Consider the following 15,102-nt stretch of genomic DNA (forward strand, 5'->3'; position numbering starts at 1 on the left):
CAAGGCGGCTCCGCGGGCGCAGCCAATGGGGAAGAGGAGCCCTTCCCTGCTCCTCCTGACTCTCCCGCTTCCTGCAATCCCGTTTATCTTCCTACTTGGAGCTCACCCACTGCAGCCAGGGCCAACCGCCGGCGCCGGAAGGCGGGATTTCCGCGGCACGCACGCACGCCCGCACTCCCACGGGAGTCAGTTTCTCACCAGCTGAATTATTTGAATTTAGCACCACTAAAAGTGGAGCAATCAGGTACGGAGTGCCTCCAGAGCTGATGTAGCAGAAATCACTGACACCATCTTTTTTTTTTTTTTTTTTTTTTGAGACAGTCTCATTGCGTCGCGGAGGCTGGACTGCAGTGGCATGATATCAGCTCACTGCAACCTCCACCTCCCGGGTTTAGGTGCCTCAGCTTTCCGAGTAGCTGGGATTACAGGCATCTGCCACCCACCCGGCTAATTTTTGTATTTTCAGTAGGAACGGAGTTTCATCACAAACTGCTGACCTCTGGTGATCCGCCCGCCTCAGCCTACCAAAGTTCTGGGATTACAGGTGTGAGCCGCCGTGCCCGGCCTATTTCAGATATTTTAAATATTAAAAAGTAGAACCTGGCCAGGTGTGGCTCACACCTGTAGTCCCAGCACTTTGGGAGGCTGAAGTGGGAGGATCGTTTGAGCCTAGGAGTTCAAGACCAGCCTGGACAACATAACAATACACTGTCTGTTCAAAAAATAAATTTAGCCAGGTGAGGTGGCACGTGCCTGTGGTCCCAGCTACTCGGGAAGCTGAGGCAGGAGAATTGCTTGAACCCACGAGGTGGAGGTTGCAGTGAACCAAGATCGTGCTACTGCACTCCAGCCTGGGAGACAGAGCCAGACTCCGTCTCAAAATAATAATAATAATAATAAGCTTGGGCGGTGGAGGGCTCCCCCAGGCATTGGCCACCTGTGGAGTGACCTGGCTTTTGGCTCCCTGGCAGCCAAGTTCTGGGTCGGGCATCTTCGTTGGTGACTGCCCCTTCAGCTCTCCTGGTGTGGCTGTGAGTGGTATGGCACTGCTGTGACCCATCATCTTGTCTTAAAGAGGCATCCTGACATCTCCACACTTGCACACTGAAGAACGCAACATCATGATTAACTTTTTAAAGGAATATTACAAAAATCACAGCATCCGAAAATTTTTTGGTCATTGCAATGATCTTGATCAGGCAATGAGAAAATAAATCCTTGAAGAATGAGTACATGGAAAAGAGGACCAAGAGCAGAGACTATGGCAATTTGATGCAAGAGACTTTTTTTTTTTTTTTTTGAGACGGAGTCTTGCTCTGTCACCAGAGCAAGTGCAGTGGCTCAATCTTGGCTTATTGCAACCTCCGCCTCCTGGGTTCAAGCAATTCTTCTGCCTCAGCCTCCCACATAGCTGGGACTACAGGTGTGTGCCACCACACCCAGCTAATTTTTGTATTTTTAGTAGAGACAGGATTTCACCGTGTTGGCTATGGCCAGGATGGTCTCGATCTCCTGACCTTGTGATCTGCCCACCTCAGCCTCCCAAAGTGCTGAGATTACAGGTGTGAGCCACCGTGTCCAGCCGCAAAAGAGACTTTTTAATTCTCCAGAGGAATCTGAAAAATAAATTGTATTTTCACTGGATGCCTTGGCTGAGAGAAGACTGAAAGACTATGGGTTGGCCCGGGCACGGTAGCTCATGTCTGTAATCCCAGCACTCTGGGAGGCCGAGGCGGGTGGATCACCTGAGGTCAGGAGTTCGAGACCAGCCTGACCAATATGGTGAAACGCTGTCTTTACCAAAAATACAAAAATTAGCCAGGCATGGTGGCGTGGGCCTGTAATCCCAGCTACTCGGGAGGCTGAAGCAGGACAATCTCTTGAACCCGGGAGGCAGAGGTTGCAGTAAGCCAAGATGGCGCCACTACACTCCAGCCTGGGCCACAGAGCGAGACTCTGTCTCAAAAAAAAAAAAAAAAAAAAAAAAAAAGACTGGGTTGATACCTGAGAGAATCCTGTCTTATTTGCTCTCCAGAATCCTTGTAATGAAAAGTGACCCATGAGAAATTGAACCATGGAGAAATATGAACATTTCTGGATTCTGAATATTTGTTGGGCAGTCTTTAGTATCATTTTTCCTCCACCAACAAACCTGACTTCACCCTGTTTCTTCTCTTTGCCTACTACCAGTTATCTCAGTAACTTATCTCCCTGAATAAAGGAATATGATAAGTTAAAATAAAATAATTTATTTTAAAAACTTGTTTAAATAGGCCGGGCACGGTGGCTCACACCTATAATCCCAGCACTTTGGGAGGCTGAGGTGGACGAATCATGAGGTCAGGCGATCGAGACCATCCTGGCTAATATGGTGAAACCCTCTCCACTAAACATACAAAATTAACCGGGCCTGGTGGCGGGTGCCTGTAATCGCAGCTACTTAGGAAGCTGAGGCAGGGGAATCACTTGAACCCGGTAGGGGGAGGTTGCAGTGAACCAAGATCGGGCCACTGCACCACTGCCCTCAAGCCTGGGCGACAGAGCGAGACTCCATCACACACACACACACACACACACACACACATACACACACACACACACACACTGTTTATAAATAAATTAATAATTTATTTTTAAAAATTAATAGACTGAATCTGTAGGCTTTGTAATATCTAGTTTATCTACTCCAATACCTCTTGGAGGCATACTTCCTTTACTTGATTTCTGAATTGGGGATCCTATCACTGCAAACAAACAATAGAAAATAAAGAAATAAAGGCCAGGTGTGGTGGCTCACACCGGCAATCCTAGCAATTTGGGAGGCCAACGCTGGCAGATCACCAGAGGTCAGGGGATTGAGACCAGCTGGGCCAACATGGTGAAACCCCATCTCTACTAAAAATACAAAAATTAGCCAGGCATGGTGGCACATGCCTCTACTCCCAGCTACTCCGGAGGCTGAGGCAGAAGAATCGCTTGAACCCAGGAGGCAGACATTACAGTGAGCTGAGATTGTGCCACTGCATTCCAGCCTGGGTGACAGAGTGAGATGAGAGAAAGACAGACAGACAGAGACGGGGTTTCACCGTGTTAGCCAGGATGGTGTCGATCTCCTGACCTCATGATCCGCCTGCCTCGGCCTCCCAAAGTCCTGGGATTACAGGTGTGAGCCACCGCGCTCAGCCAGGTATGTGATCTTGAGCAAGTTTCTAAGCCTCTTTGTGCCCCAATGTCCATTTCTTACAATAGGGATAATAATAGCAACCTTTAAGTGAGTCATTACGCATAGAGTTTAATTAGAAGAGCTCTTGACATACAGCAAATACTAAAAACATTCAGTAGCATCCACAGTAGAAAACGCAGGGCCGGGCGCGGTGGCACACGCCTGTAATCCTAGCACTTTGGGAGGCCGAGACGGGCGGATCATGAGGTCAGGAGATCGAGACCATCCTGGCTAACGCGGCGAAACCCCGTCCCTACTAAAAATCCAAAAAAAAAAAAAAAAAAAAAAAAAAAAAAATTAGCCGGGCGTGGTGGACGGTGCCTGTAGTCCCAGCTACTCGGGAGGCTGAAGCAGGAGAATGGCTTGAACCCGGGAAGCGGAGCTTACAGTGAGCGGAGATAGCGCCACTGCACTCCAGCCTGGGTGACAGAGCGAGACTTCGTCTCAAAAAAAAAAAAGAAAGAAAGAAAACGCAGAGTACATAGCACATGGTAGATACTGACACTGCGCTGAGTCTCTTACAAACATCGTCTCATTTTACTCTCACAAAACCCCAGGAGTTTGGTATCTTTATTCTAATTTTAAAGACGAGAAACTGAGGCTTGAAAATATTAGGGATATGTCCAAGGTCACGGCGGAGCTTGCAATGAGCCGAGATCACGCCACTGCACTCCAGCCTGGGCAACAAACAGAAGAAGACTCCGTCTCAAAATAAATAAAAATAAATAAATAAATAAATAATTAAAAAAGATGTATTTGGATGGTTAATGCATTTTTAATGTATAATCATCTACTGTAGTTAAAAGATGATCAAATGTGCTGATTCACTCAGTGTGTTTCAAATGCAGGACTTAAGGAACAATATGCCATAAGCCACCAACTTATTGTTTTCTTTTAAATTATATATCTAACACGCATACATACACACACACACACACACATATATATACAAAATGTTAATAATGATGAAAATTTTGAGCATCATGAAGAATAGTATATATGTAATATATGTTTTTTCACAAGAGTTTTCCAACTTCTGTACTTTTTTTTTAGTAGAATACATTAGATACTACAAAAGAAATGAAAACAAAATGATGTGGAATAGCATGTAAACAATAGAAGGAAGTTTTTGAAGACTGTTACAACACAGCTTCCCTAGCTAATAATACCTGAGAAAACCTGCACATGTGGCATATATGTGTCGCTACCTTTTAGCATATATAATGGGTTTATTAATATTTCTTCATAGCATTGATGGGATGAATATATAAAATAGTATCTATAAATACCTAGACCTTTGCTGGGTGTATAGTAAATATTGTGTTAAAATAGAACTCTTCCATCTTTCTGCAGAAATACTCTATGCAGTGATTACTTCTGGCTGTGATACATAAAAACAGGAAAATCTCAATAGAGAAAAAATACGTATTGATGATACATAATCTGGATTTTTCCAAAGAACAAAAACTATGAATTGGGTTGCAAGGATTTCATGTTAAGACAACAGTAAGAATAAAGACATGGAGTAGAAGATACACACGTTGAGTAGGTTTAACAGGCCTGAGCAAAAGATGCATATAATGAAACGTCACAAGAACAGACTAGAAATTCCTCTAAGCCTGTTGCGAGAGCCAAAGAAAATACATCTGTATTTGACTGTTGATAATGAGGAATTTCTGAAAGGTTGACCTATAGAAGTTCTGAAAAAATGCTTCTAAACAAACCAGATTCCTTTGTCAAACAGATAAGGGAAATTATGGATATGTAATGCCACTTTAGAAATTTCAAATGCACATTAACAAAGCAACAGCAAAAAGCAAACCCCATTTAACATTGTTTAACCTAGATTTTATGAACTTATTTACCAAGGAAACTCTCCCATCTGTATTTCCCTACTTGTAATACTTATTAAGAATCACTATTTTGGTGTCGTTGGAATTTACTTAGAGAAATGCGGTCTAACCTCTGCTTTAAGAAGACAACTCTGGCAGAACTATCAATTGGAAAAAGAGAGTTTAGATGCTAGGAGGCCATTATAATAGCTCACTTGAGAGCTAATCTGTGCATGACTCTGATGGGAGAAAATAAAACTGAGAAAAAGGCATGCATTGGAGGCAACAATCCTTGGAATGTGATTGACTGTAGAGAATAATGAATGTGGAAGACCCAGAACAGACTTTAAAATGTTAAGCCCAAATGACTGTCTGACAGGTGGTATCTGTAACAAAAATTGGAAACTCTGAAGGAAGAACAAGATTCTGAGGAAACGACTAATTTTTTAATGTGTTGAGCTTGAGGGCCTGCTTTGGAACTAACAGGCAGCTGAAGATTTCATTTCATGTCAAAGAAACTTAATTTAAAATCCATCAAGTACTAAACTCAGAGCTAAATGTGAAGGACTGAAATACCAACTTGCCCACCATGTTAGGTTTATGAGAGCTCAATGCAGAAATGCCTCTGAAGTGGGAAAATCTATAATTTCTCCGAAGAAGCACTGTCTGTGCTCTGGAGGTCAGAAAATTTCTAGACTCATGTCTTCATTAGGGTAGATCGAGAAGCCTTTTAGAAATTAAATTTTGGACATGCCCATGTGTCCTCTGAGCCTGTCCTTTCTGTCAGAAGTCACGCAGAGACCCAAATGTCAAAAAGGGACACACTCTTTTGTTGATGCACAAGATTGTGGCATTCCAATCTCTTTCTGAAAATACATTATTGGATTCTTTGCAGCCAAATTCTTAAGAAAAGTTTGGTATTGGAGACTAATATTCCATGAAGAATTACCTGAAGCATGAGGAAATCATCCCTTTAGATCAGTGGATTTTTTGCTTTAATTTTTAAATTGACACATCATTGTACATATTTATAGGGTATAGGGTGATATTTTGATTAGATCAGTGTTTTATATAGCATGTTATGTAAAGCTTCTGAGAAGAGTCAGGGAGCATCTTAGAAAGCAAAATGGAGTCTGTAAACAGACATGTAATGAATACTAAGACATGTAATGAATCTTCATGCCCTCCCAGATATTTCAGAGACATCCAGTTATGTTGGGATCACGTGGAAAGATCTAAGAGACTCTGAGGTGAAGTGCCATGAATCACTCTGGGGCTGAGGCAGTAAAAAGCCCCTGCCTCCTTCCCAGGTTCTCTCCTTTTCCACTTCCAGTACTTTGAAGGTTACGTGCAATGTGTGTCATAGGTTAATGATAGAGGAGTTTATTCTGACTGACATTGAACTTTATGGGAGCAACCCACAAACTTTGGTGTGGTTGAGCCACTGAGAATTCAAGCTTAGTATCTTCTTGTTGCTGTTGCTGTTTACCAACACTGTGGTATTTCTACAGGGCTCAAGCGGGCAGAGAAATTCCATGTGAACAAGAATGTCTCATGTTGGGCTTCTGTATAAATTGTGCTGTTGAAAAATGTTAAGCAGATAAAAATTTTAGAAATTCATTGCTCCACACTGTATCGATACTATTTTTGTCTCAGTCGAAGCCATCCTAAAGTTATATATACTTAGATCATATAATCTTCAATAGAATTGTTTTTACCAAGTTGCTTTTTGATGTTATAGATGAGCCTTAAGTAATTCACAACTGAATTCATACACAAATGTTATTGAGTCTATTTCCCACCATGTTAGAGAGGTTTATGAGAGCTCAATGCAGAAATGCCTCTGAAGTGGGAAAATCTATAGTTTCTCCAAAGAAACTATTATAGTTGTAACAGAAAGAATGATGGAAAATAATAAGATAGAAAATCGTATGAAGGAGTACAGAAGATGGGGCACTATTGAAGGGATTATTTAACAGCAATAAGGATGAAAATGTGTCATTGAAATTCTTTAGGTTCCACATAGAAATTGCACCAGTTTATCCCGGCAGACATATTGTTTAGAAGTTTTTAAGAAAAGAAATTTTTGAATCATGGTTTTACACTGTTTTAGGTCATGGGAACTAGTAAACATGTTTCACTCTGCAGACTATTAGTCAACATTTAGATCATGCTTTTCAATAAAGAATGTCAAATTGTGAGAGGAGAATCGATAGATCTAATTGTTACAGTCACTCAACTGACATGTTGACGGGCCTGGAAAATTTCTCACATGAATAATGGGTGAAGAGTCAAAGAATGATTCTTTTGGGGAAAAGAAGACCTGCCAGGGTTTTGGAAAGGGTATGTGTATGCATTTAGTATTGTTTAGTGTGGTAGCTCTATGGTCCTGACTGTCACATATTTATTGGGCTGCCATGTGTTAGGTGGAAACACAAAGCTGTCATTTTTTTGTAGGACAGAAAAGGCTGAATACTGACAATTTCATATGGTTCCACCTAATAGAATAGGAAACACAGGTATCTCTGAATTGTTTATCTAAGGTAGAATTTGGGGAAGAACTTAGAACTTATAAAAATTAAATTTTAGACTAAAATATATAGATATATCTAGAGTTGTTCAAAAATGAAAATAGAGCTGAAATATCAAGTGCTATAATGGAGTTCACATAAGAATTCCATGCTTTATATTTGAGGTTGGATATGTGCTTTTTCTTTATCCCTTTCATTTATATGGATCTAATCTTCTATAATGTTTAAAACATTTTGATTGAGATGTTCTTTGGCATTCTTTTTTTCTCTTGATTTAAAGATCTGCTTTACAACCAAACAGTAAGATTAAACAAAACAAAACAATGCCCATGGCTTCATGATCACTCTACCCATTTAGAAAGGCCTTGTGCATGGCCTATTATGGTCATCTTGAAATTCTTTGTAATTTTTTATCAAAGGGTTCTACATTTTCACTTTTTACTGGGCCCTGAAAATTATGCACCCAGTCCTCAATCCGTGGTCTTCTTAAATTTGCATGCAGATTAGAATTATAAAGGTACATTAATTCTAGGCCGTCAAAGCCTAGCTTATAACTTTCAAATTACATTTGGGAATTGTTCTTATATAACAGCATTTATTGCTCCAAAGATCATTATGTAATAACTACTAAATAATCTATATGATTGTACATTTGGGAAACCATGAAAACTTTCTAAAAGAGCTCTGCTGTTTTATGTAACAATCATGAAATATTTCCAAATGCATAAATATAAATAATTACAATAGAAAATCTGAGAGACAAAAAAAGCTATGATAGTATACCAATGCAATTTCTTGAAAACAGATACACATGAAACAAAGAATAAAGGAACAGCAGGAAAATGTGCCACTATTGTGGTTACAGCTTTGAGGCAACACATTAAAATGCCAACCAGACACAGGTGGCAACAGATGTATCTACCACCAAAAAAAAAAGTTAAATCAAGTGAAAAATTTCAAATGAAGTAACTGTTCAATGAAAAGGAAAAAGAATAAAAACCACATCTGCTTACATGGCAATGAAACATGAAAGATTCTGCTAAACATTTATGTTGAAAATTAAGATGGAGGTAATTATGCACACTCATCCAAAAATAGAAAACAAGGAATTAGTGGACCAATGCCAATGTTAATTTTGAAAACCTCAAGAAGAAGAAAATTAAGATATGGTTGATAGGTTCTCTACAATATAGCAAGAAAACTCTGCCCAAATTCTAAAGGATACAAAGTCTACTCAATTTAAAAACAAATGGCACGTTTCTGTTTCTTAAAAGACATACGCATAATCTGTGAGTGCATTTTCTACTTTAGAGACCATTTGAATTAAAATCCTTAAGTTCTTATGAATGTTTTCAAAATATGTACAGTAAATGAATAAAGCCCACAGTTATTTAAGGATAACATTTAAAATTATTTACTAAATCTTTAATATTAAAATAATAGTACATGCCATCCAGTCATAATCAAAAAAGCCAAGGTGATTATGGAGTATTGAGGCTGAAAAGAGAAAGATCTAAACCAACCTATTCTGGACTTCACTGTCAAGGAAAAAAATTGAGAGGAAAATTTTCAAAAAATACTTATACTTGTGAGATTGGTGATGAGAAACAATCTGTGAAATATTGCCATTTCTCTGGAGTAAAAATTTTAAATGATTGGTTATCATGATGTCCCTTTCTCTTCACACTCAACATCTTTCTGATTTGCTCCTCAGATCTCAGGCATGCTGAGGCTATAATGTCTTTCCGTCTACCTTAGGTTTACTATTTTAAAATTGATTTTTGATGTTGTTGTGAACATGAATTTTGTATTAATACAGGAGGATGGGGTGTGTATTTCTGAAAGTCCAGAGTTGTAGGGGCAAAGAAGAGATTTCTGGAGTTCCCCTGCGTGCCTGCTTACAGAGGTTTCCTTCCTGATATTGTCAACTTCTACAATTCTTGCTCTGGCTCCATTTTAAAGCCCTGAGCAGTTAAGTGTCTTTTCCCGACCCTCATTTATACTACCATGAGGCTCCTTTGTAACATGAAATGTACAATGTGACCAATTGTTGGCTGCCCAAACAAACATACGTTAGGACTTTTCACTCTGGCCTCCTATACTGAAACATCATTCACATTTAGTAAAGGAAGGGGCACTCTGTTAAACTCACCACATTCTTTACTTTATGGAGTCAGATAGAGATATTCCACTAAGTCCTTTTGCTTGATCCCATAGAGACCATCCTAGGAAAACTGAATTAATATGAGAGCAGGTAGAGTGAATATTCATTAAAGTCATTTACAACAACATCCAATAGTGTCTCCAAGTGGAACAGATATTTAGAGACCATTTGGCAGGAGATAGGATGGGGAAAGAGAGTGGCTGATGCATGCTGAGAAGTAGGAGGAACAATCCAGCTTTTAAAATATTGTTCTTGTTAAGAGTCTGTTTATCAGGTTAAACACAGTCAAGTGGTCAGTTGGGTCTAATAATTCAGTAACTGAGAACAGATGGAGAATACATGGATATGTGTCTGTGTGTACACTCACATGCAAAACCAGTTGCCCTGACTTTATCTTACTTACATCAATCTATTTACTGATTTTGATAGGAAGAGTATGTATTTTAGATACCTCAAGAGTATCTCCTGAAATACTTCCATATTCTTGCCTTTTGAAGAATCTTTTTAAAGGAAGAAAAATAATTATTAGCAAAGAATTCACATTCCCAATGGCTCCATTTTAATCTCCTTAATCAGGTGTTAAAATTCATGGCTTGGGAAAAGTGGGATGTTTACAAGGCCTATCTGTACCATTTATCTATACCATTAGTTTTAATAGCCTGTTCACTTGAACAATTTCTAAGTATGTGGTAAAAGAAACTAAACTAAAATAATAATGCATTATATTTGAAAACATCAGTATCCTGTACACAAAACTTCCATAAGTAGTTCTTCCTAGATTGAAACTAGAACTAATCCATTTCCAAAATCATCTATATTTTTCTGAAGACAAAAAAAATGTTGCTACAGATAATTGTCATAGGCTGCAAATATTCTGATTCATCCAGTATTTCTCTCTTGTTGCATGTTGTATAGATAAATATAATGAATCAATATTAGGATAGCATATATTTTGTTAAATGTTAATGCAGAATTCTAAATTTTCTAGCATTCACAGAAAAGCAAGCTACTGATAGTAAGTAGTATTTAAAGAGAAATCTTATCTACTACAATGAATTGAGAAATCCAGGATATTAAGACCACAAAAATGATTGTTTAGATGATTTAATTATAGCACAACAGGCTTTTCTGCTGATAATGTTATAATTATGTTTTAATAACCCAATCTCAACAAACATAGCTAGAGTACAAATGATGAGCACAAAAATCCATCTCATCTGTAGCTCAGACTAGTATTTCAAATGTAATTTCTCTATTAGTAATTTAGTCTGATTTTTATAATTCATTAGAATAAATCAATAACTGACTTAGAAATCACTTCTGTGATTTTTTTTCCACAGAAACATTAACAATACCACAAGCATTAAAATGTTGAGAAATATTTGTATATGATGATGTCAGTGGATGTTCCTTTCCTCAGCTAATAAATTCTAGTATAAAGTTTTCAGATCTGTACACAAAAATGGATCATAAAAATATAATCATGGTAGAAACTAGCAATTTTATGAATGTGGAGAAAGAGTTCAAATAGTACTTTTGTACTGTACTGTGTCCATGCAAAGCTTCATTCAATCAAACAAAAACAATACTGAATTTATTATGTTAAAATATTTAAGGACACTCTGGTAGATGAGATCATTTTCCTGCATTTGTTCACACTCTCTCCTATCTCCATCTCTAAGGGACAGATATAATTCCCCACTCCTTGACTTTGATCCTTGCTGTGTGATTTTGCTTAAGCCAAAGGGGTATCTTAGAGGATTTCAGGCAACAGAAGCCTGGCATGTTTTTGCACAGGCAGGTTGCACTCCTGACTTTTGCCATAACAATAACATGCTTCAAGTACCCGGGAGGGCTGAGGAGAATCACAAATACGTAGAACAGATCTGGACACCAGCTGCAGCTTCAAGCCAATGCTAGCCAAGCCCAGCCTAGATCAGCTGAACTGCGTCTGACCAGAGGTGCATGAACAAGGAAGGCAACGCGGTGGACCTGGGCCAGATGAGCAGCTTCTACATTGGCCTGTGTTCCCGCCTCCACTGCAACATTTTCTCCTACCACTACTCTGGCTACGGTGCCAGCTCGGGCAGGCCCTCCGAGACGAACCTCTACGCCGACATCAACGCCGCCTGGCAGGCCCTGCGCACCAGGTGAGGGCGACCCCGGGCGCAGCTCAGCCTGGGCACACCCGAGAGGGGACCAGGCCGGGGGCCAGGGGCCGGGGGGAGGGGCGGGCTTCCCTGGGAGGAAGGTGGGCGGCCCTGCAGGAGAGGAGCCACAGTGGACGCATGCTGCCAGAGAGCCGGACAGGTGAGCTCAGGCATGCGGGTGCTGCCTCCACATGGCTGAGGTGTGGCCAGGAGGTCCCCCCACACCCTGGCCTGTGGAGCCAGGCTCCCTGGGATCCCCTGGCCTGAGGACAGGAAGGGGCTGAGCTTGTCACAGGGGCGTGGACACCACCTGGCGGGAGGGGGTGGGTGGTGTCAGGGGGTCTGTGCATGTGTGGCTGGGAGCCCACGGGCTGAGGCCGCACTTGGGGCCAGGTGAGGCGAGGCTGCTGCATCGAGGTCCCAAGGCCTGGCCCATGAGGCCCCGTGGCTGTGGAGCTCAGCCATCCCGGGGCAGGGCCTGCAGGGTCAGGTGCAGACCCCCAGCACACACCTGAGGTCTCGGCCAGCTTCGATTCCAGATCCAGCCCTCCTAATCATCCAGGTCCCCAGCCCTGCGCTTGCCTGGGCCCTTCACTGGTGTTTGAGCACCACCCGGGCCAGTGCTGCTCTGGACTAGAAGACCCGCGTGGGCCTCTGGGGGCCTTTCCTGCTCGCCACCCGCTGGGGCTGTCTCGTCCTGGCCCTGCCCTGCCCAGCCCAGTGGTCTGACCCGCTCCTGCAGGGGCCAGGCGCAGCTCTGAGAAGTCAGAGGCCCTGGGAGGTGGGGTCCTCGTTGCCTTGGAGATATCCCAGGCAGTCCCTGCTGTGGGCGTGGGAGCTGGGTCCCCTGGCACCACCCTGGCTCTGGGGGCCTCCCGGCAGTGTGGGGCGCCGAAACCAAGCACCACTTCATGCAGCTTCCTGGGCCCCCTCCTGTCTCTACTGCCCGGGGCACTGGCAGAGTCACACCCCCCATGGCCAGCTCTGAGCTCTGTCTACTCCGCCGTCTGTCCTGCTGTCGCTTTGTCCTGCAGGATCCTCGGCCCAGAGCCGTGAGGGGGAGGCCAGATAGCGCTCAGGGCCTCTATGGAGGATGTGTCTTGTTTGATTGTCTGAGTGGTGACATCTAGGTGGCAGCTGGGGGCTCCTGCCTGGAGCAGGTGACAGGGCTGGGCTGGCTCAGCACACTACTGGCCTTGGCTGCCAGGGAGCAGGCCAGGGAGGCTGAGGCAGAGCTGCAGCCACAGGCACAAGCCAGGCAGCATCCTTTGGGGCATGGGTGAGCAGTGAGCTGTGGAGTGCTGCCAGGAGGCTGGGATTCCAGGCCAGGGAGGGAGACAGCCCTGCTGGTGGAGTCCGAATGCCAGCCAGACGGGACGCACACCTGCCCATGCTCCTGTCTCGCAGGAGGGCATCTGCCTGGCATCAGAGCCTGGAGCTTGTGGGAGGAGAGTTCTGGGGTCTCGGCATCGACAGGGTGGCAGGTGGGTCCCGCGTGGTTGGGACTGGGCATGAGGAGGCCTTGGGACTGGTGCTGGATCAGCTGGGCCAGGGGCCGCACACCAGTGACCTGGGAGTGGGGGTGGCCCTGGGTGGGAGCTGGTGGTGCTGAGGTGGCGGAGGACTTGTCCACTCCCAAGGGAAGGCACTGGTGGGAGGAGATGCTGCCCCCGCAGCCACCACCCTCGATGTTGACCTGGGTTGGGCTGGCAGCTCATTGGGCATGGGACTCTGAGAGTCCAAAATTGGGTGGAGACATCTGGGGACACAGCTGCCTGAATTCCTCATGGCCAAGGGGGTAGGCAAGGGCTGCAGGGAGGAAGAGTGTCCCGGCCAGTGCACCAGGAAGAGCTTTCTAACCTGGGCAGGAAGGCGTGAAGCATTCAGGATGTGGGAGGCCACACAGTTCCCAGTGTGCGCCTAGGGGTGACCAAGAGGAGGAGAGGTGCCAGGGCTTCCCCTACCCTAGCCCGAGGGGGACTCCCTAGCCAGGATCCAGCAGATCCTGGCTAGGAAACGCCAGTGAACCATAGTGGCAGGGAACAGGACCAGGCCGCCGGCTTCGCCCACCGCTGCGGTGTTGGGGGGCTTGGGGGTGGCCCTTGAGACTGGTGTGGAGCCTGGGCCTGACCAACTGACTTGGCTGAGCGGGGAGACTGGAGAGTCGCATCCGGAGCTGGGCCCGGGGACGCCCGCTGGCAGGAGGGGTGCGCGCGCGTTGGAGGCCTAGGCTGACCCTGCTCAGGTGCCGCCAGGTACCGCATCAGCCCGGACGGCATCATCCTGTACCGGCAGAGCATCGGCACGGTGCCCACCGTGGACCTGGCCTCGCGCTACGAGTCCGCCACGGTGGTGCTGCACTCGCCGCTCACCTTGGACCTGAGCGTCGCCTTCCGGACACCAAGACCTACTGCTTCGACGCCTTCCCCAAGTGAGCAGGCTGGGGCGGGGACGGGGGCGGGGGCGGAGCGGGGCGGGGCCCGGGCCGGGCGAGGTCTCACCCGCCCCACGCCCCTCCCGCAGAATCCAGAAGGTGTCCAAGATCACGCCGCCCGTGCTCATCTTCCAGGACACGAAATACGAGGTGATGGACTTCTCGCACGGGCTGGCGCTCTACCAGCGCTGCCCCAACGCCGTGGAGCCGCTGTGGGTGGAGGGCGCCGGGCACAAAGACATCCAGCTCTACAGCCAGTACCTGGAGCGCCTGCGCCGCTTCATCTCCCAGGAGCTGCGCAGCCAGAGCGCCTAGCGGCCGCCAGGGCCCCAACCGGCCGGACCTCAGCAATAAGGCGGCCCCCGGACCTCACCCCGCGCCGGCCCCCCCAGGGACTGCATGTGGACCCCCGGGCGGCCCGGGGGACCCCGCCCCAACCCAGGGGCCGTGGACGATGTAAAGGCAACAGAGCTACGCACTCCTTTCCTTTTGGAAGCAAGAAGAAAAATCGTGAAAACGGAAATTAAAGATTTAATTTTTTTTTTAAAAAAACACAATGTTTATTAATATACTCCAAAGTTTTTCTTTTTTTTTTTTTGAGACGGAGTCTCACTCTGTCTCCCAGGCCGGAGTGCAGTGGCGCGATCTCAGCTTACTGCAACCTCCGCCTGCCAGGTTCAAGCGATTCTCCTGCCTCAGCCTCCCGAGTAGCTGGGACTACAGGCGCGTGCCAGCATGCCCAGCTAATTTTTTGTATTTTTAGTAGTT

At 44.8% G+C, this 15,102-nt stretch overlaps 2 pseudogenes; both read left to right on the forward strand.

Moving 5' to 3' along the window:
• Nucleotides 1-25: 25 nt before the first annotated feature.
• Nucleotides 26-1,627, forward strand: LOC124903764 (COX assembly mitochondrial protein 2 homolog; annotated as a pseudogene).
• ABHD17AP8 (ABHD17A pseudogene 8) lies at nucleotides 11,726-14,848 on the forward strand (annotated as a pseudogene).
• The last annotated feature ends 254 nt before the right edge of the window (nucleotides 14,849-15,102 follow it).

This window comes from Homo sapiens, chromosome 16 (assembly GCF_000001405.40).
Source record: "Homo sapiens chromosome 16, GRCh38.p14 Primary Assembly".
Lineage (NCBI taxonomy): Eukaryota > Metazoa > Chordata > Mammalia > Primates > Hominidae > Homo > Homo sapiens.